Source organism: Homo sapiens, chromosome 2, assembly GCF_000001405.40.
Source record: "Homo sapiens chromosome 2, GRCh38.p14 Primary Assembly".
NCBI lineage: Eukaryota > Metazoa > Chordata > Mammalia > Primates > Hominidae > Homo > Homo sapiens.
In genome coordinates, this window is record NC_000002.12 from 142,876,670 (window position 1) to 142,897,915 (window position 21,246).

At 37.3% G+C, this 21,246-nt stretch overlaps 1 protein-coding gene across 8 annotated transcripts in view, besides 1 other annotated feature; it reads left to right on the plus strand.

Moving 5' to 3' along the window:
- The window catches only part of KYNU (kynureninase), a 178,170-nt gene continuing 157,918 nt past the window's right edge, over window positions 995-21,246 (plus strand). For 5 of the 8 annotated variants that reach the window (NM_003937.3, XM_047446250.1, NM_001032998.2 and 2 more), the window contains exons 1-2: window positions 995-1,067; window positions 8,680-8,867. In NM_003937.3, the coding sequence (NP_003928.1) occupies window positions 8,699-8,867 (169 nt within the window). In that variant the 5' untranslated portion in view covers window positions 995-1,067; window positions 8,680-8,698. Of the gene's footprint in view, window positions 1,068-4,675; window positions 5,430-8,679; window positions 8,868-21,246 lie in introns of all 8 variants that reach the window. The other 3 variants (NM_001199241.2, XM_047446251.1, XM_047446252.1) reach the window with 2 other exon arrangements.
- Window positions 7,170-7,219: a silencer, noted in NCBI's record as "silent region_11989". NCBI's record gives its function as "represses an Ori minimal core promoter by ATAC-STARR-seq in GM12878 lymphoblastoid cells {active_cell/tissue: GM12878}" and the evidence as "EXISTENCE:reporter gene assay evidence [ECO:0000049][PMID:35858748]".

The following is a 21,246-nucleotide window of genomic DNA, read 5'->3' on the forward strand; positions in this document are numbered from 1 at the left end:
AGACAATATGTCACTTTTGACTTGAGTGTCATGGTATCTATGGCCTTCAACCTGCATGGTTTTATCGTTTCAGTAATCTTGGGAGGAAGGTATTATTAAGTTCATTTGATAAATAGGAGACTGAGCCTCCACAAGGGTTAAGTGAATTGCTCAGGGTTATACAATGAACACTTGATAGAAATGATTAAATGACACTTTACTTGATTTGTTGTGGGTTACTAAATAAAGCATAGGTGTGCATAAGTCATTCAATTATTCAAGCACATTCTTCATCCCTAGTCCTAATATCGAAAGTCTTTGCTCTTAGTTTTTATAACTACAAGGATATTCATCAAAAGACCCAAGCTCAGGAATAAGCCTAAAGAGGTAGTCAGACTAGAACAAAAGACAATTCACAGACTTAAATGAATAATTTGCATTAATGAAGTTTGCCAGGCTAGTTTCCACTTGAATCTTCAGATCTTTCTTCCTTCATTGTCTTGTTAACTGTCCAGATTTATTACCTAGGAGTTTTTGAAAACTCACATATTAGGCAATAGAGTGTATTCTGGAATTGAGAGCCTATTTTAAACTTTTGACTAAAAAGTTTACCCATTAAATGTCATAGATTCAACCATCAGACTGAAAATCCTCAGTGTATTTGAAGGAGGGTATTGTCTCAAAAATCCAGAGCTCAAAGTGAAGAAGAAAGGCAAAATTTGGAATTTAGCTCTAAGACCAACTCATCAGTTCAGGGGTCAGAGATTTATATAGTTAAAGGACAAGTGTGTGTTTACCTGAGTTTAAAGAGCAAAGTTGCCTCTGGAAAGAAGCCCTCACTGGAGGCTCTGGCATTTGAAATGGTGGGCAGGAGCACATGTTGCTTAAATTTCTGACAGTGGCTGGAGATTACCGATTGGTTAGGGGAGAGGAAGTAAAGTAAAATATTTATAAATTCTCCACTGGGTGGAGTCTGAGCAGTTCTTTGAATTTCTCACCCTAAGATCTGGCCTGTACATTTTCAAGGAATTCTTGAGAGGTTCTTGGAGAGATTCTGGGAGCCAAACACTCCATTGGGATCCTAGCTGGTAAGCTTGAGGCGCTGATAAAAACTCTCTACCCTAATGTTTACTCCATGTTTTTTCCAAATGAAACTTCTGTCAGCTAGAATCCTTGTCATAGTGTTTTAGAGGTTTTTTTCTGCTACTCTCTTCTTTTTTTATATATATTCTTTTTGTAAATAAAAATGGTATGACCTTCCTAAAGGCCCCACCTTTAGAAATGGGTTAAATGAAAAGATCTTTACTAATGTAATAGAAAAGAACTGATGAACATAGTGCACTGAATATGGTTACATTTGACAAACCAAAGTTAGTCCTGTTCTTATTTGAGTTTAAGCGGTAAGATTAGGTCAAACTCCAGACGAGGGAAAGATATTCTTAAACAGATTTTAAGTCCTCTGTTTTCTGGTAACTTTAATTGTCTTATGCTGCTAGTAGTCATATTAAATATTTATTTAGAGAAGTGAAAATGCCTACTCTTGAACAGAGTTTCTTCCCCTTTCATTTTATGAAACCTAAGAAAAGAAAGTTGATACACTTTTTAAAAATATACTAGATTTTCTTTTTTCCTTTCTGCTTTTATTTTGAGGCCAGTGGGGTGTTATTTAGTAGTAACACTGAAGCAAATGTATTGATTTTCTTAACGTGTTCAGCAAGTAATTCATATCCTAGATATGAAATATACACTCGTAGCAGAGTAATGTTACCCATTTCTCAATGATATGCTTAAAGAATCTTGCTCAATATGCATATTGTTTTTCCTTTTTTCTTTACTAATGAAAAACTACACGCTTTCTCAACATATTTTTAAGTCAGGTTCTAAACTTTGAACTCCTATGTACAATTTGCTTATTTCAGGCATGAATGTGAAACTGTGTAAAGATTAACTACCAGACACTCAGTCATTTATTTAACTATTTAGCCCTAAATCAGTGGGTGACTAGGAGATTCTGAATTCTGTGATTTCGTTAAAATCAATCAGTTTTTAATTATTATACAAGCTTTTTACTTTAAAGTTGTAGCTGTCTAAATAAAATTGTGAAAGCACAATTTCCAAACCTAAATCGAAGGCACATTGATGCTGTCCATCAGAAGGTATTGATAATTTAAAAAAATATTACAAACTATCTTTTATCTTTTTATAAAGGACCTAATGTCATTTGAGCTTAACCATAATCCTTTGAAGAAAGTAAAATTTAACTTTAAATAACATTGACATACAGAGCAGTTAGGTGATTTGTCTGAGACCATATGGTATGTATGTCCCCCGTCTTGATAAAATTAACACTAAATATGTAACATTTGAAAATTTGTAAAATATGTAAAAGTTGAAGTTTTTAAAAGTTTGGATTTAAGTTCTTCCTTTCAGAATATGAGCATGTCACTTTATTTGCAAACTAAACATGGCATAACATTATGGCTTGTGAACACTAATTGTCTTAGCTGCTGGGGTGAATGCAGAATTAAGCAGCAATTAGTATGAGTGAATAAATTGCATCCTTAGAGTGAGTGCACTATGCTATTCTGGGAACTAAAGACTATATTTGAGACCATGCGAAGTTGTGCAAGTGGTGGAGTAGGGCAGGGTGCAGTCATTTGGAAGACTATGCCCATCAGGTATCTCAAGGTACCCCAGATGTGACAGGCCCAGGAGCGGAACCAGCCACTTTAACTTTTGCCTGGCTGAAACTGGACTGGGAAGGATGGATTAAAAAGGTAAATCAATTCATACGTAGCTTGTGGTCCTTTGCAGCTTAAGTGTAGGACTGAAAAAAGAAGCCAAAGAAAAAGGGAATGAGCTGAAGAAATACACACACGTACACACACACATCAGGAAGCAACAGGCAAGGAAAAATAAAGTGAGAGGTTCAAGGCTTCGAGGAGGAATTGAGCTCTGTGCATTCCATTCATGGGCTTTGCCAAAGACCAGCACAATGGACTCAGCATCTCAGGCATGGTTAAGTACCCTACTGTGCACTCTGCTATCCTTTTAGTCCACTGGTTTCTACTCTGTCTGTGCCAGGTTTTCATCTCAATATAGAGGAAAAGGATTCTGATGCCTCAGGATTATTACAAGCATTAAATAAGATACAGATAGAATGACGCTAATGAGTATCATTTTTAAAATAAGGAAAGTTGAATTTTATTCAGAATCTGTTGGTAACAAACTAATCTCTTTATTTAAGTAACCCCACTTAGAGTTTAAAGTCACCTCCAATCAACTCAAAGGGCTGACCTCCCAAAGAAAGTCTCAAATATAAGGCAAGCTCTCTTGATTCTGAATTTCATTAGAAATGTTTGTCTAAGTCTTTCTCATATGGTCAGAATGAGAGAGGGTGCCCTTCTAGTAATATGTCATTATGTCAAATAATTCATCAACCAATTTTGTTTATTCTCTCGAACTGCCACTTTGGCGGCAGGGGTACTCTGTCTAAATGAGATGTCTATAAAGATAAATTAAACATGATTCAGGCCCCCAGGTAGAGTTCAGTTCAGTAGGGTAGAACAGCAACTCAGTCCAGCTACCATCAGTAATATGTTTGTAGTAAGACTAATCTGATAGTAAGGCAGAAAAACATCTCATGGAATTTTAGGAATAGCCAAGAAGATGGGTCCCCTGGAGACTTGCACATAGCATGTTGCATGAAGGATTCAGTGACTTGCAAGATGGGCTTGTCTTGTCACCTTTTCAGGAGACATAGCTGTTCAATCCCTTGCCATTGTGTAACTAAGTGACTCTTACTTGCTGCTGGAATCACTTCATGCTTTTCATGCTTTAACAATCAGTGGTTCTGTTTTACTTTGAAAAATGAGTCATTCTATGACAGTATTCCTCCTAGACCCTAGCATTTCATAGCTTCTATCTATGATTATTTTAAATTCTAGCTCCTGTATCTAACTGAATGAATAAGCACATCCCACAGCTCAGATTCCTGAAAGAATTTGATTATGTACTCAGCTAAACATCATCACTGTTTGGTTAGAGCTTTTATAGCAAATAATTCACAGATCTTTGATGAAACTACATTGTCTTTAGTGGGTAAGTGTCCAACAGAGGTCTAATAAACTATGACCAGGCAATTGATAATGCCAAGCGGTAGAGACACAGTGATCTCTCTTCAAAATGCAGTTTCCTTCATCAGAAAGCTATGTGTGGGGAGCCATTTAGAATCAAGTTTCAGGCATAGCAAATGTTTTTGATCTTTCCTATCCATACATATGTCCAAATAAATATAGTACCTGGCAGAATGTATTATTATCGTAAGTAAAGTACATAAGTGTGCTCTTAATTGTTATTGGTGTTCAGAGGAAGACGGGCTACTTTTGCCTGAGACATCCTAACAGGCCTCTTGAAAAAAGCATTGGAGCATTAGGTCTTTGAAGGTTGGCTAGAATCCAAACAAGTTGAAGGGGAGCAAAACATTTTAGGCAAAGGAAATGGCATGAGAAAAATCACAGAAATAGAAAATTTCATGTGGAGGACAAATAATACTTATGGTCAGATATTGAAAGCACCATCCATCAATGTTGAAATCCTACACTTTTGTACAGAACCATGGATTGAAGCAGTTAGGAGTCACAACTGATATCAAAGTAAAAAACATGCAATGGTGAACCTTGGTATCTTTGTCTAGGAATATAAAGAATGGCTTATCAGTGGAGACCATCGACAGTTGAGAAAAGAAGAAGCCCAAAAAGTACAAGAATGAAAATCGAGAGTGTAAGAAGAATGTCTGTTTTACTGGCATTATCTAACACTCAGATATGCAACTCTTTATTGCCAAACACTGTGTGTGTTAGTTAAGGTAAAAGGTGAAGGGAGGCAGAAGAATGGAGATTGAATTGAATTCTAGAGCTTTAGTTCTGTGTGAGTTTGGGCCCCCAGAAGTTCTAGACATTAAGTACAGTCTGAATTGAGAAATATTAAACATATCTTGTGATCCAATATTCCCCTAAGTTATACACTCAAATATCCAATGACCAGCTTGACATTTCTACCTGCATGTTCAATACTTATTTGAAACTTAATATATCCTAAATATAATTTTTTTTTAAACAGTCATGCTCTGTTGCCCAGGATGGAGTGCAGTGGCACAATTAGCTCACTGCAACCTCAGACTGCTGGTCTCCTACCCCATCCTCCTCGGTAGCTAGGACCACAGGTGCATGCCAGTGCCAGCACACCTGGCTTTTCTTTTCTTTTTTCTTTTTTTTTTTTTTTTTTTGTAGAGATGACATCTTGCTACGTTGTCCAGACTGGTCTCAAACTCCTGGCTTCAAGCAATCCCCTGCCTCGGCCTCCCAGTGCTGGGGTAACAGGTGTGAACCACCACAACCAGCCTGCTAAACTGAATTCCAATTTCCCTCCTCAAAATTTTTCTTCCCCAGGTATTTTTATTTCATCATATTTCACATATTTGCCCATATCCCAAAGCTAGAAGAAAGCTCCTTTCCTGTCCTCACTAGAAATAATCTATCCACCAGTCCTATCTACTTTTTCTCCAAACTACATCATAAATCCACACTCTTCTCTCTACCTTTGCCCTCATCACCAAATTTAATTCACCACCGTTTCTCTCCTGAACTACTGTGTTATCCTTAATCGGTCTCCCTTTTCAACTTTTTTTTTTTAATTATACTTTAAGTTCTAGGGTACATGTGCACAACGTGTAGGTTTGTTATATATGTATATATGTGCCATGTCAGTTTGCTGCACCCATTAACTCGTCATTTACATTACATATTTCTCCTACTGCTATTCCTCCCCCATCCCCCCACTCCACGACAGGCTCCGGTGTGTGATGTTCCCCGCCCTGTGTCCAAGTGTTCTCATTGTTCAGTTCCCACCTGTGAGTGAGAACATGTGGTGTTTGGTTTTCTGTCCTTGCGATAGTTTGCTCAGAATGATGGTTTCCAGCTTCATCCATGTTGCTGCAAAGGACATGAACTCATCCTTTTTTATGGCTGCATAGTATTCCATGGTGTATATGTGTCACATTTTCTTAATCCAGTCTATCATTGATGGACATTTGGGTTGGTTCCAAGTGTTTGCTATTGTGAATAGTGCTGCAATAAACATACATGTGCATGTGTCTTTATAGCAGCATGATTTATAATCCTTTGGGTATATATGCAGTAATGGGATTGCTGGGTCAAATGGTATTTCTGCTTCTAGATCCTTGAGGAATCACCACACTGTCTTCCACAATGGTTGAACTAGTTTACAGTCCCACCAACAGTGTAAAAGTGTTCCTGTTTCTCCACATCCTCTCCAGCACCTGTTGTTTCCTGACTTTTTAATGATCGCCATTCTAACCGACATGAGGTGGTATCTCACTGTTTTTAAAACTCATTACAGAGCTAAGTGGTTTTTATTTAATGTAAATTTATATCACATTACTTTTCTACTCAAAACTCCCCAATGGTATCCCATTAAACTTATAAAATTTCAGTTTTCTTTCTGGCTCCCAAATTTCTTTTTTTTTTTTTTTTTTTTTTTTTTTGAGATGGAGTCTCGCTGTCGCCCAGGCTGGAGTGCAGTGGTGCAACCTCGGCTCACTGCAGGCTCCACCCCCCGGGGTTCACGCCATTCTCCTGCCTCAGCTTCCCGAGTAGCTGGGACTACAGGCGCCCGCCACCTCGCACGGCTAATTTTTTTTTTGTATTTTTAGTAGAGACGGGGCTTCACCGTGTTAGCCAGGACGGTCTTGATCTCCTGACCTCGTGATCCGCCTGCCTCTGCCTCCCAAAGTGCTGGGATTACAGGCGTGAGCCACTGCGCCTGGCCCCAAATTTCTTTATGACTACCTTCTGCCTTTGTTTTTTGCATATCACAGTTTGTCATTCCTCCTTCCCTCTTTTTCCCTCCCTAGTGCATTTAGTTGAACAAGCCAAGCCCATTTCCACCCCAGGAACTTTGCACTTGTTGCCAGGTTCCTCCAGGTCCAGGTCTTCACATGATGTAGACATTCTCATCTATCACTTTCTCAGAAGGATGAACATGACCCTTTAAGGTAGCTCTTCCACACTCCAGTGACTCTGTCCCATTACTCTGCTGTTTCCTCATAGCTCTTAAGTCTGAAACTACATTGTTTTTCTATTCTTCATTTACAAATAAATTGTACAAGGGTTGGCACTTATGCACTCTCTCATACACTGCTGTCCTGCCATTACTGGGAGTCACATAATAGGTACCAAATAAATACTTGTTGAAAGAGTAAATAAATGTATAAATTAAATGAAATCAGCAAAACTATATGTAAATCTAACTAGCCCAAAGAAATTTTATTTCCTGTAATATCATTTTGTTCAAAAAACCAAACTTAGGAGAGGAGAAATATAAACAAACAAGCTTGGGTGAAGTTTAAAACGTATGTGATTAAATCTCCATTGTCATTTATCCTTTTCCAAAAAGTGGGAAATGTTGCATGATGATTAAACAGAATACAATGTGGTTTCAAGAAACATCACACAATCCTGTTTGTTCTAAGATAATAAATATGGTGTTGAAAGGAAGAAATTTATAATTACTAACAGCAGCAGGTGGATGAATCTCTTTGGTATTCATATGAACAAAATACTAACATTTTAAGTAAAGTTACCTTTTCCATGAATATGGTTTTCACTCACAAAAAAGGATTTTGTTCAGGTTCAATATGTCCATAGTTTTAAAACCATGATCCAAGAACCACTGGGGGTGGGACAGTGGAGTTGGGATATGGAGAAAGACAAGCTAAGTGGGATGCTGCTTTTCGACACTTTGACAAAGATCATCCTTACCATTATCTCCTCATAAGATACCTAGAGGAAAAGGTGATGACATTATATATATTTGGAAGCCACAAGTGTGGTACATATTTCTAGATAATAAGAATGGAATGAGCTAACATTTATTGGGAACTTACTCTGTCCTGAGCACTATTATCTAATTTAGTCCTTTCAATATCTCTAAGTTACTATTATTTTGTTTCTCTTTTCCTTTTTTTTTTTTTTTTTTTTTTTTGGTTTGTGTTTTGAGACAGGGTCTTGCTCTGTTACCCAGGCTGGAGTGCGGTGGTACAATCCCAGCTCACTGCAACCTCCACCTCCTGGGTTCAAGCGATTCTCCTGCCTCAGCCTCCCTAGTAGCTGGGATTACAGGCGCCTGCCACCATGCCACCTTTTCCCAACCTCAGGAATAATATACTTAACCAACCAGCATTAAACTCCATGCATGAGTTTTTCTCATATATGAAAAGAAGAAAATAGGCCAAGCGTGGTGGCTCATGCCTGTAATCCCAGCACTTTGGGAGGCCGAGGTGGGCGGATCACTTGAGCCATTTTTTGTATTTTTTTAGTAGAGATGAGGTTTCACCATGTTGGCCAGGCTGGTCTCAAACTCCTGACCTCAAGTGATCCGCCCACCTCGGCCTCCCAAAGTGCTGGGATTACAGGCATGAGCCACCATGCCTGGCCTATTTTCTTCTTTTCATATATGAGAAAAACTCATGCATGGAGTTTAATGCTGGTTGGTTAAGTATATTATTCCTGAGGTTGGGAAAAGGGAGTCTTAGTGAAAACAAAAGGTGTATTACCTAAAGGGCTCATTTTCTACAGGAAAATTATGGTGGCTAGATTATGTTTTATTATTCTCTTTCAGTTTTAGAGAACAACTTGTAATGGAGCCTTCATCTCTTGAGCTGCCGGCTGACACAGTGCAGCGCATTGCGGCTGAACTCAAATGCCACCCAACGGATGAGAGGGTGGCTCTCCACCTAGATGAGGAAGATAAGCTGAGGCACTTCAGGGAGTGCTTTTATATTCCCAAAATACAGGATCTGCCTCCAGGTAAGAATGCTGGGAAGGTTTTTAAATTTTATTTATTTATTTATTTTTGCTACTGCATGTGTTTATTATAATCTTTGAAAATCATTGTTGTATTACATAATAGAGCTGTTGCAATTATGTTTGAAAAGCAGAAGATCCCTGGTGCTCTCAATCAACCTGTCAGCCTACCTTAGCCTCAAATTATCTGTTTTCTCCCCTCCTCTGAATGAAATACATGCAGGGTACTTATACTGTCAACTACTTCTCTGAACAATTGAGTGACTGATTGAAAATTACAGGCAGATACATTTACTTGTTCTCTAAGCACTTGGGATTCAAAGCAATTATTTTAGAATGCAGTGTTAGAATAGCTCTTATATTCTGGCACTTAGTTTATAATAATATGATGTTTGTCTTAGAGAAAATATTGTTTTGTGACCTGGATATATTAGAAGAGATGTTATATGAATAGCCATCTTTGCATGCTGTAAAGATGGCGAGTGTAAGAGTTACCAAGAAAAGAAACAACAAATGCCCAACAAATACATACTACATTTTAAAATAATGTAGTAATCTGACTCTGTTCTGGGTTTGAGGAAGTCATTTAAAAAAATAAAACATAAGTAGCAAAGGTATAACAATAAAAAATGATTCATCATATTTAGCTTTACTCCATTTTACATTAATAAAAAAGGTTCCCAGGTTGAATGGAATTAGTCTACCAAACTGGGTTTCGCATCCTTTATAATAGTCTGATTCCATTTTTATTCAGATTAAATAAGGTACAATTTTGGGTCCAGTACTCAGGAGCCATGAAGGTCAGCTAATACAATTTTAGGATGTCTGGTTTGTATAACACTAATATATACTATGTAATAAATGTTAAAAACACCTATTTGTCTTCAGCTATGTACCCAACAACCTATAGAATTCTGGAAGAATGAAAGAAGAGAAATACCTGTATCTGACTTAAAATTGTGTAGTATAAGTTGAGGGAGATATTGATGGAAATGACAGCTAGAAGAGACGAAATAAAATGAGGCTATAAGTGATCTGAGACCATAGAAGAAAAATCTTCTAGGTCATTCTAGAATCGAAAATTAAAAGGACATTTTTATTTGAATTGTAAGGGATAAAATACTGCTATGGGAGTGAATTGTGAGGAAATAAAATTTAGGAAAGGAATTCTTAACGGAAATGGGAGATAAGGGGCTTGGTGATATGTGCATCACACAATGTGGAAACCTTTAGAAACAGCGAGGACCCACATGAGACAAGTCAGGTCTGGTTGATGGTGGCCCTGCCCTGATGTGCTCTCTGGCCTACAGGGCTCCTGTACTGAGTCAGAACCCAGTTTAAAAATAGCATTGTACAGCCGGGCGCGGTGGCTCACGCCTGTAATCCCAGCACTTTGGGAGGCCGAGGCGGGCGGGTCACGAGGTCAGGAGATTGAGACCATCCTGGTTAACACGGTGAAACCCCATCTCTACTAAAACTACAAAAAATTAGCCGGGCGTAGTGGCGGGCGCCTGTAGTCCCAGCTGCTCGGGAGGCTGAGGCAGGAGAATGGCTTGAACCCGGGAGGCAGAGCTTGCAGAGAGCGGAGACTGCACCACTGCACTCCAGCTTGGGCGACAGTCCGAGGCTCCATCTCAACAACAACAACAACAACAACAACAAAATAGCATTGTACCTCACTAATCACCAGGAAAATGCACATCAAAACCACAGTGAGATATCACCTCACACCCTTTTCTATGACTACTATTAAAAAGTGCAGGATATAAATATTGGCTAGGATATAGAGTGATTACAGCCCTTGTGCACTCTTAGTGGGAATGTAAAATGGTGCAGCCACTGTAGGAAAGAGTATGGCAGTTTCCTCAAAAACCAAAGAATAGAATTACCACATGATCCAGCAATCTCACTTCAGGATATATTGCCAAAAGAATTAAAAGCAAGATCCCCAAAAGATATTAGTACACTCATGTTCATCATAGCATTATTCATAATAGCCAAAAGGTGGAATTAACCCATCATCAATAGATATGATGGAACCTTATTAAGTTTTAAAAAGAACCATGCTCTACATGGTTCACATGAATGAACTATGAGAACATCATGCCAAGTGAAATAATCCAGACGCAAAAAGAAAAATACTGTGTAATTCCAATTATACCAAGTATCTAGATTGGTCAAATTCATAAAAACCAAGTAGAATGGTAGTTGTCAGGAACTTGGAGAGGGAGAAATGAGGAGTTATTGTTTAATGGGTATAAAATTTCAATTTTGCAAGGTAGAAAAATTCTGGAGATTGGTTGCACAATAATGTGAATGTACTTAACTGAATTGTACACTTAAAATTGTTAACAGAATAAATTTTAGGTGCATTTTAGCACAGCATTTTAAATATTTATCAAAAATAAAAACGTTTTCCCCTTAGAGAAAAGCAGCATTGTACATATAATCACTTCTGTTATACTTAAAAGTTGACTTAGTATCCTAATTATAGGTATAATATTGATTTTGATTAGTTATCCAATAGAAAGTAACTGAAGGATTACAACCTTGGATAAGTCATTGCTGATTCTTAAAGATAAGAGATAGAAATTGGTTTAATAAAGAATTTAAATAGTTTGCTTGTTTAAAAAATATAGTTTTGCTGGACACGGTGGCTCACATCTGTAATCCCAGCACTTAGGGAGGCGGAGGCTGGAGGATCACTTGAGTCTAGAAGTTTGATACCAGCCTGGGCAACATGACAAAACCCCATCTGTACAAATAATACAAAAATTAATTAGGCGTGATGGCATGTGCTTTTACTGCCAGTTACTCTGGAGGCTGAAGTGGGAGGATCACCTAAGCCCAGTAGTTCAAGGCTGCAGTGAGCCATGATCACACCACTGAACTCCAGCCTGGGTGACAGAGCAAGACCCTGTCTCTAAATAACAATAATTATTCTAATAATTTTGAATGATGTAAAACTTTATTAACCCCAAGTGTTCTTCTACATCAGTGATTGTCAAAATGTGATCCCTTGACCAAAAGCATGAGGTTCACTAGAGATCTTATTAAAAATACAAGTTCTTGTGTCCTAACTCAGAATTACTGAATCAGATTGTTAAGGTGAGGCCCAGCCTTCTATTCTAGATCCTCTAGGATAAGATGGTATCCTAGAGTTGGGTCAATTAATTCCCCTTCTTACTATTCTCACGCCAGTTGCATCTTAATGTCTAAGGATTCATGTATTCGGCAAATATTTAATAGTCAGTTACCCTACTCGAGACACTTCTGTCAGAACGGTTCAGAGAACCAAAGAGCAAAGCTGTCGCATACTTGAACGTGTATCTAGTATGACAACAGATAATAACCAAACTTAGAAACAATTATGCTCTACCATCATGTAGCACTCTAAATGATAATGAGGGCTGTGAAGATAAGGGTGTGACCTTACCCACAGAAATATGGTGAGGTGCCATCTGAACAAAGATGACAGCACAGTGAGGAAGTGAGCCTCATGGAGCACAGGTGAAGCTGAGCCTGGTCGTGGTCCACGTTTATGCTGAACAGAGGTACCAACTCAGGAGCACATGATGTAGGAGCAAAAAGATAACACATTTTTCATAACCATCACAAGGGGCATGGCTGATGTTTCTATAACAAAGACAGGTTAGCAAGAGAAAAACCCAGGGAAAACTTGAGATTTTATGCTAAGTTGAATGAAAGAAATGAATAGATGTGACTAAATAGAATTGGAATGAAATATGATCTAACCGTAATCAACAGACAGTGGCGGGGGGACTCAGCAAGTCCTGTATTTTTGGATTCTTCTTGCTCCCTCGGTGTAGCATTTCTTCCCTCTGCATATAGGGCAGGACACCTGTCATATGAAAGTCTATCCGGGAGAAGGGAAAAGGTCAGTGCGTGAGCTTTCTAGGTTTTAAGGCTTGCTGTAGGAGAGGATTTCAGTTTCTTTGACTCACCTGGCTGCAGGACACAGGGCAGGGGATTGGAGAAGATCAGAAAGACCTTGTTTCTGAGGCCCTCTCAAATCTCCTTCAGTTCCAAGTACTCAGCATTCCAAGGCACTGTATTTTAGAATACTATGTTCTGACCCCCAACGGTGTTGAAATTTCCTTCTTTTTTGTTTTGACAAGATGTGAATTCATCAGGAAACCAGTGTTCCCTATCTTATTAAAGCCTTCCAAGAGCATCTAAAAATGGTAAAGCATGTTGGATTATTTTTGGAGACTAGCATAACACCAAGAAAATAAACTTTCTTTAGCAGTTCTGAACAATGAAAAACAGAACAGAAATAAACAAGTTTTGAACAAATGAAAGGATCACAACTCCCAATATGAGATTTTTTTTTTTAATCTTGAAGAAAGTCTACAGGCATAGCCTGTACTTTTTTGATGTTTTTCTATTATATATTATGTTTTCTCTGGGTTTCTAATATAAATTTTATTAAAATAAGTACTTTCATTTTCTATTCTTAGATGGTGCCTGAGATGTTATCAGAGAAAGGGGTCAAAAATATTTTTAATCAGCTTTTGTACTTATGTTCAACATTGTCCTAAAGAGCACAGCTGAAAAATAAACAAGCAAAAGAAAGGAGGAAGAGAGAGAGAGAAGGAAAGAAAAGAAAGAAGGGAGGAAAAAAGGAAGATATAAGAAAGAAATAAAAAGAAAAGCAAGAGAAATGCAAGGCATACATGTGGAAAGATATCTTTCTAAAATTTTTAAAATAATAAATATTCCTGTTTGAAACATCCTCATACCTAAATTTCTGAAAGCATACTGGATAGCCCCATAAGATATATGGCTTTTGCACAGACACAGGACAAAGACAATCTTTTTCAGAGTGTCAAACTGCCATCCCAGAAACAAGTTGTGCAAATTTACATTTCCTCCAACAGTAAAGACAATTGCCTCACTAACTTTGGGGATCAGTAGGATTGTTTTTGTTTCTGTTTTTTGGAGACAGGGTCTTGCTCTGTCACCCAGGCTGGAGTGCAGTGGCGTGATCTCAGCTCACTGCATCCTTGACCTCCCAAGCTGAAGTAATCCTCCTACCTTAGCTCCTGGGGTAGCTGGAACTACAGGTGCGTGCCACCATGCCCAGCTAATTTTTGTATTTTTTGTCAAGGCAGAGTTCTGCCATGTTGCTCAGGCTGGTCTCAAACTCCTGGACTCAAGTAGTCCTCCCGCCTCAGCCTACCAATGTGCTGGGATTACAGGTGTAAGCCACCATGCCAGGCAGGATTAGCAGTTTTAAGAATCTTTGCTCATTAGATAATAAAATAATTATTCCATTCTTCTTTGAATTTGCAGTTCTTAGACAACCGTTGGAGATAGTTTTCATAAACTCCTTGGTCATTGCTTTCCTTTTTGTCTTAAGTTGCTCATAATGTATACATTTAATTTTAAACTAAAATAAATATAAGTGGTAATGTTTCATTTTTTTTCTCTTAAGGATATAAACTCCTTCTCTCATATATCTTAGGAATTTTAAGTGAAAATGTCCAGTTAATATAGCTGGCTAATAGCAGAACCAGAAATGGGTTCCAAATATTGTGACTGCTAGCCCATGTGTCTTGACTCAATCCTGCTTTTACTTTTTTAAAATCACTCAATTGAAGTATAATTTATGGACCATAAAATTCATCCATTTTAAGTATACAATTTAATAATTTTTAGTAATTGCATATGATTACAGTACCATTATAATCCAATTTTAGAACATTTCTTCATTCCATTTTTTTATCTCTAGCCTAGGCAAACAGTAATCTACTGAACTTGCTGTTATTTTGATCTATATAGAAGATTATTAACTCAAAGAATTTTTTTACTATTAAACTATATTTGGAGAAAAAAAAACGGTGCTGCTTTCAATATTCTTTTCATAGTCAAATAACCCTCTCCTTCAATCTTACCACACATCCAGGAGAGAGATCAGTAAATTGACACCCAACTTTAGTAGACTTTAGTAAGTACTTATAAAATTTAAAGTTATCCAAACAAGATCTTTTATAATTTTGCACATGTAATTGTTTGGACTCAGATAAAATTGGCATAGCAAAATAATCATGCTTCAGTTTGTCTCCAGGGCTTCCATATAACATAATAGAGAGCCTCTTAAACTCAACTGCTTTTAGGCTTAGAAGGCTGTGACAGATATGAGTTATCAGTGCATGAAATACAGGAAAGCATACTTTTCTCTATAAACTAGAATCTTTTATTCAACAACAGATAAAGATATGTTAAATAAAAGATTTTATCCAGCTATAAAAGGACATGTATTTATAACTGTAATTTTGATAGTCTGATAAATCTCTAACTTTCATAAGAAAACAATTAAGAGTATTCCTTAGTTAAAAGTTTAATTTTGTAGACATTGAGACTTTTTTTTTTTTAGATGGGGTCTCACTCTGTCACCCAGGCTGGAGTGTAGTGGTGCAATTTTGACTCAGAGCAACCTCCACCCCCTGAACTCAAAGAATCCTCCCTCCTCAGCCCCCCAATTAGGTGGGACTACAGATGCATACCACTACACCCAGATAACTGTTTGTATTTTTGGTGGAGACAGGGTTTCACCATGTTGCCCATGCTTGTCTCAGACTCCTGAGCTCAAGTGATCTGCCCATCTCAGACTCCAAAGTGTTGGGATTACAGGCGTCAGCCGCCATGCCTGGCCAATATTGGGAGCCTTTCATGTTACTTAAATTCTGCATTTAGTGGACATATTTGTAACCTTGTTATTTCATTTGCATTGGACTGTCTGCTCCCTGAGTGTAGGAACTGTCTTCTTTCTCTGTGAATGTGTGGGAGTCACCTAGGCAGACCTTAGTGTGGAGTGACGTCCAATCATGAAGAGGGAACAGCATTTGCAAACACACAAGAGAAAGCATAGTTACTTTGATCCCTAAGAATAGTTTTACATGATCAAAGAATGTCATGTAAAAAGCTGGGTATTGGTAAATGGTAAATAATAAGGTACGGAATAGGGAATATAGGGTACTAGGATGATTGGTATAATAGGGTGAAGAGTAAATGAGTGCGTGTGGGTACCTAACAGTAAGTCTGAAGAAGTAAATGTAATAGAAGTGGAGGTAAAGGAAAATATTCAGTAAATACATGAAATACTCATTAAATAAACCTGATTTAGTAGTAGGAGAGGCATACCATGAGCCATAATTTCTGTTTTAGGTGAATAGTGGTGATATTCACTGATACAATTAACTTGTTTTGGAAACTATTCATTGAAAGAGGAACTAGTTTTTTATTTGTTTGTTTATCTCTTGTTGCCCTGTCACCTGTGGCCTTGACCTCCGAGTCCAAGTGGCAGCTGTTACAAGCAGTGAGAATCAGGCAGTGACAAAGAAGAAAAGACAAATAATGTGTGTGCACTCTCCCTTGAGAAAGGTTTCAGTTTGCCTCATGAGTTTTAACGCATATATAGACCTAAGCCCCTGGGCCAGTGTTTGGTCATGGCCCTGCCTATCTGCAAAGAAGACTGAGTCTAAAACACAATTTTTGTTCTTGGTGGCCACATGCAAAGCTAACAATTCTATTTCTGTAAAGGAAAAATGAAATGCATGTAGGGTACAACTAGCAGTTGAGTTTAGTTAGAAGGTAGAAATTTGACAGTCATCAGCATTTAGGTAATAGTTGAAACTGTGGGTACGGATGATATTATCTTGGCATCATACCTAAGTGAGAAGAAGGTGGTAGAAACAAAATTCTAGGCATTGACAAAGAAAGAACTCTAGAAAGAGCCAGAGACACAGAAGAACAAGGAAAGTGTCGTGTTCTAAAACCAAGGGAAGAGACATATTCAAAGAAATCAGAGGGCTTGCCATCATCAGCTATCACAAAGACTGTATAAGCCTTTCATTTAGCAGTCAGGAGAGCTTTATTAAATTGTCTTAACTTTAACAGCTTCACTGGAATGACAGGCAGGGAAACTATGTACATTTCTAGATGTCATTGAAGGAGTAAAGTATCGGAAATGAGATTTTTAGGCTTCTTTTCCAAGAAACCTTGCTGTAAAAGGAAACATAACAAGGAACAAAAGGAAATGAATGAATGCTTTTTTCAAGCAAGGTGGGGGCTTGAATATGATTGTGCATTGAGAAGATGGTATGGGAAAAAAAAGAGACAGACAGACAGATAACAGAGGTGAATGTGATTTTCAGCCAAGCAGAGTGCATGCTGGATCTGTTGTCTATTCCCACCTTTTTCAGCTCATGGAGCCCAATATTCTAAGATAATGCAAATTGCTGAAGACAATCTTTCCCTACTCTCTAAGGATATATTGGCCCCAATGTCTAAGGTCAACATTAGCCAGATTGAGATTTTACAAAGAAATCTCAAGGTCCCAACCAACTTTTCCATATTTTTGGGCAATATGATACCAGGCATAACATACCTCAGCCACAGGACAAAGGACTGGGAATAGAAAGATTCTTACAAGGAGAGTACACTTTCACCTTTGCCTGGGACAATGTTTGGTCTTTTCTGTCTTGCCATATGAACTCTTTCCTCAAGGAATTTTATCCACAAAGGCGTGGAAAATCTCTTTTGAAATCCTCGAAATACGAAGTGTCTCTCCCTCAGATGCCATACCACTCATCAATCTAGACCTCAGAGAGAACTAATGGGTTCAAAATTAGGCAAGAGTATCTAAGGAGTGTGTGCAAGTAGACTGTAGTGATCCTACATTTTTCTCCATCTTCTTCCTGAAATTATAGGAATTATATTCAAAGTCCAAGAAGCTTGTTGGGAGCATAGCCTTGTATGGGGCATCCCTATTGGAAAAAGGACATGAATATTTCCTCAGTGCACCACCAGGAAATTTAATATTATGAGGTACATAGCAACACAAAAAAATCTTCACTCACTACCTTCTGAATAATAGTAAAAAGAATATACTTTTTTATTTAGTAAAATGCAGAAATCATACATCTCTACAAATTTTACAACATGAGCACCTCTGTGTAACAAGATCCTAGATCAAGAAACATAACATTGCCAGCACTTGGGAAAACTGCCTCGTACCCCCTTTCAGGAACTCCTTCTTTAGGGTTAACCAGTTTTTCTGTAGCCAGTATGCGAGTATCAACTTGTGGCATGTGAATGCCACAACTTAATATGTATTTAAGAAAATATGTTTAATAGAAAATAGGTTTAAAATGAAAATATGTATGTTTCCATATATAGAGAGAGATGGAAGAATATATATTTTCTTTTTTAAACTAATGCCATAGTTCAATTATTTAAGCCAGACAGCTAAAACTGCTTCTTTTTGTCCAAGTATATGGCTCACCCCTGTAACCCAGTACTCTTTGGAAGGCTGAGGCAGGAGGATGGCTTGAGTCCAGGAATTCAACACCAGCCTGGGCAACATAGTGACACCCTGTCACTACACACCTTTTTCTGTTCATACTTCTATTTAACAAGTGATGCTGGACCATGATGTTCCCAGCATTTTATTTTTTAATTTCATCCTAAGATCTGCTCTTATCCCCCATTAAGAAGGATTGGTAGAATGTTCTCTTTCCTAATGACAGAAGTATGAAATAACTTGTTCATCAGGAGAGTTTATTATTGATATTGTTAATATTTAAATACACATTCCATAAATTGGAATATTTTGTTGTACAGTCTGAGATTTAACACATGTATAGAATTATATTAACACACCTTCTCTCAGTATATAGAACAATTTCATAACCCCCAAAAGACTCCTTTATGCTAGCCCTTTGTAACCAATCTCTCCACTATACCTCTAATCCCTGATAACCACTAATCTATTTTATATCCCCATTGTCTTTTCCAGAATAACATATGAAGAAATTATATACTGTATTTAGTCTTTGGAGACTGGTTTCCTTTACTTAAGGAAATGCCTTTGAGATTAAGCAAAGTTATGTCAATGAAGTGTTTCATTTTATTGCTGAATAGTATTCTACCCCAAGAATGGACTACAGTAGTTTATTCATTTGTCCACTAAAGGCCATTTGAGCTGTGTCCAATTTTGGTGATTATGAATAGCTACTATTAACATTCATGTACAGGATTTTGTGTGAGTGTAAATTTTTTATCTAAATTTTTTTTTTAAGATCAGATAGTAAATATTTCACTCTTGACAGGTCTCATGTATTCTTTTTTTATTTTTATTTTTTTAGAAAAGGTCTTGCCCTGTCACCCAGGCTGGAGTGCAGTGGCATAATCACAGCTCACTGCAGCCTTGATCTCCCTGGCTCAAGCAATTCTTCCATCTTAGCCTCCTGAGTAGCCAGGGCTACAGGCGTGCACCACCACACCAGTCTCATTTTTTAACTTTTTGTAGAGATGAGGTTTCACTGTGTTGCCTAGTCTAATCTTGAACAAAGCTCAAGCAGTCCTTATTCCTTGGCCTTCCAAAGTGCTAGGATTACAGATGTGAGCTACTGCATCTTTCCAGGTCTCATATATTCTTTCTCTTCTTTTTTTCCTTTGTCTTCTCCTAGTTTTTCTTCTCCCATTTATAAATGTAAAAACATTCTTAGCTTTCAGGCCATACAAAAACAGGTCATGGGCTTGATTTGGAACTCAAACCACAGTTTGTCAAGTCGTTTTAGAATGCTATAAGTTGATTGCTGGATCATATTATAGGTATATTTTTAACTTTATAAGAAACTGGCAAACTTTTCCAGAGTGGCTGTACCATTTTGCATTTTGCATTGCCACCAGTAATGTGTGGGAATGTCTGTTGTTCCCCATATTCACCCCCAGTTGGTATTACCAGTTTTTTGTTGTTTTGTTTTTTAGTCACATATGTTTGTATAAGTATCTTATTTTGGTATTTATATGCATGTTCCTAATGGCTAATGAACTTAAGCATTAAACATTTCATAAGCTTATGTACCATCCATGCTCTAGAGAAATGTCTGCTCAAATATTTTGACTACTTTTTTTTAATTGGATTTTTTGTTTTTTAATTGTTGAGTTTTGTTTTTTGGGGATTTTGGAGCTTTTTGTTTTTTTGTTTTTTGTTTTTTTAAAGAGACAAAGTCTTGTTTCGTTAGCCAGGCTGGAGTGAAGTGGTACAATCATAGCTCACTGCATCCTTGACCTTCTTGGGCTCAAGCAAATCTCCTGCTAATTTTAACAGACAGGGTCTCGCTTTGTTGCCCAGACTGGTCTTGAACTCCTGACTTTAAGATATCCTCCCACTTTGACCTCCCAAGGTGCTAAGATAACAGGCGTGAGTCATGTTTTCAGTTTTAAGAGTTCTTTATGCATTTCAGCGTACAAGTTGTTTGTTGAATCAATGATATGAAAATATTTTCTCACAGTCTGTAGCTATCTTTTTATTCTCTTATTAGCGTCTATCACAGAACACAAGATTTTAACTTTGAGGATGCACAGTATATTTATTTTTTCTTTTATGGATTGTGCTTTAGTTACCATGTCTAAAACCTCCTCATCTAACCATCAGTCTTAAAGACTTCTTTCGCCCATAATTTATTTAGAAGTGTGTTGTTTAATTTCCAAGTATTTGAACATTTCCCAGTTTTCTTTTTATTACTGATTTGTAGTTTAATTGTATTGTGGTTAGAAAACATTTGTTAAGGTTTGTTTTTGACCCAGGACAATGGTCTGTCTTAATGACTCTCCATGTGCATTTAAAATAATATTTATTCTGCAGCTGTTTGCTGGAGTGTTCTTTAAAAGCCAGTTACATTCATTTGGTTCCTGGCGTTTTTCAGTTCTGGGGATTATTTGTCTGCTAATAAAATGTAGACCTAGTTCCTCAGAGGACCCTGGTCACAGATTTATGGACATAATCATAAATCCCACTTAAGCACTGTTCCAAATTGCTGAAACTCAATTCAATATTACCAGCAACTGTAACAACACAACAAATAAATCACATTAGTACCACAATTATTAAGATTGGGAAAGTTTTATAATTAGACAGTTGTCACCCAACAAATTCATATTAGATGCTTATATTTTTCTTGGTAATACCAGAGATCCAAATAATCAAAGCACAAATGAAACAAACACAGCTGAAATCTTTATGCTTTCTATTACTACTTATAATACAATCAGCAACAATTTCAGGTTCACCAATCTGCAGAAACATTGTATATCTTTAGGGATGTGCTTTTCTTCTTTTTCCTTAAATTTTTGGTTAAAAAAAAATAAGCAACACTTAAGTTTCTCAAATGAACAGTCATAATATGTTAACATTTTAACCTACGATATCTAAACAGGAGAGCATTCTAATAAAACCCCTAAACTCACCTGGCCTTTTAGTAGAATATTATCTTTACATACAGATATGGAGGAAAATATGTTAAATGTAAATTCTTTTTTCTTCTCTCTATCTTCATTTATTTATTTATTT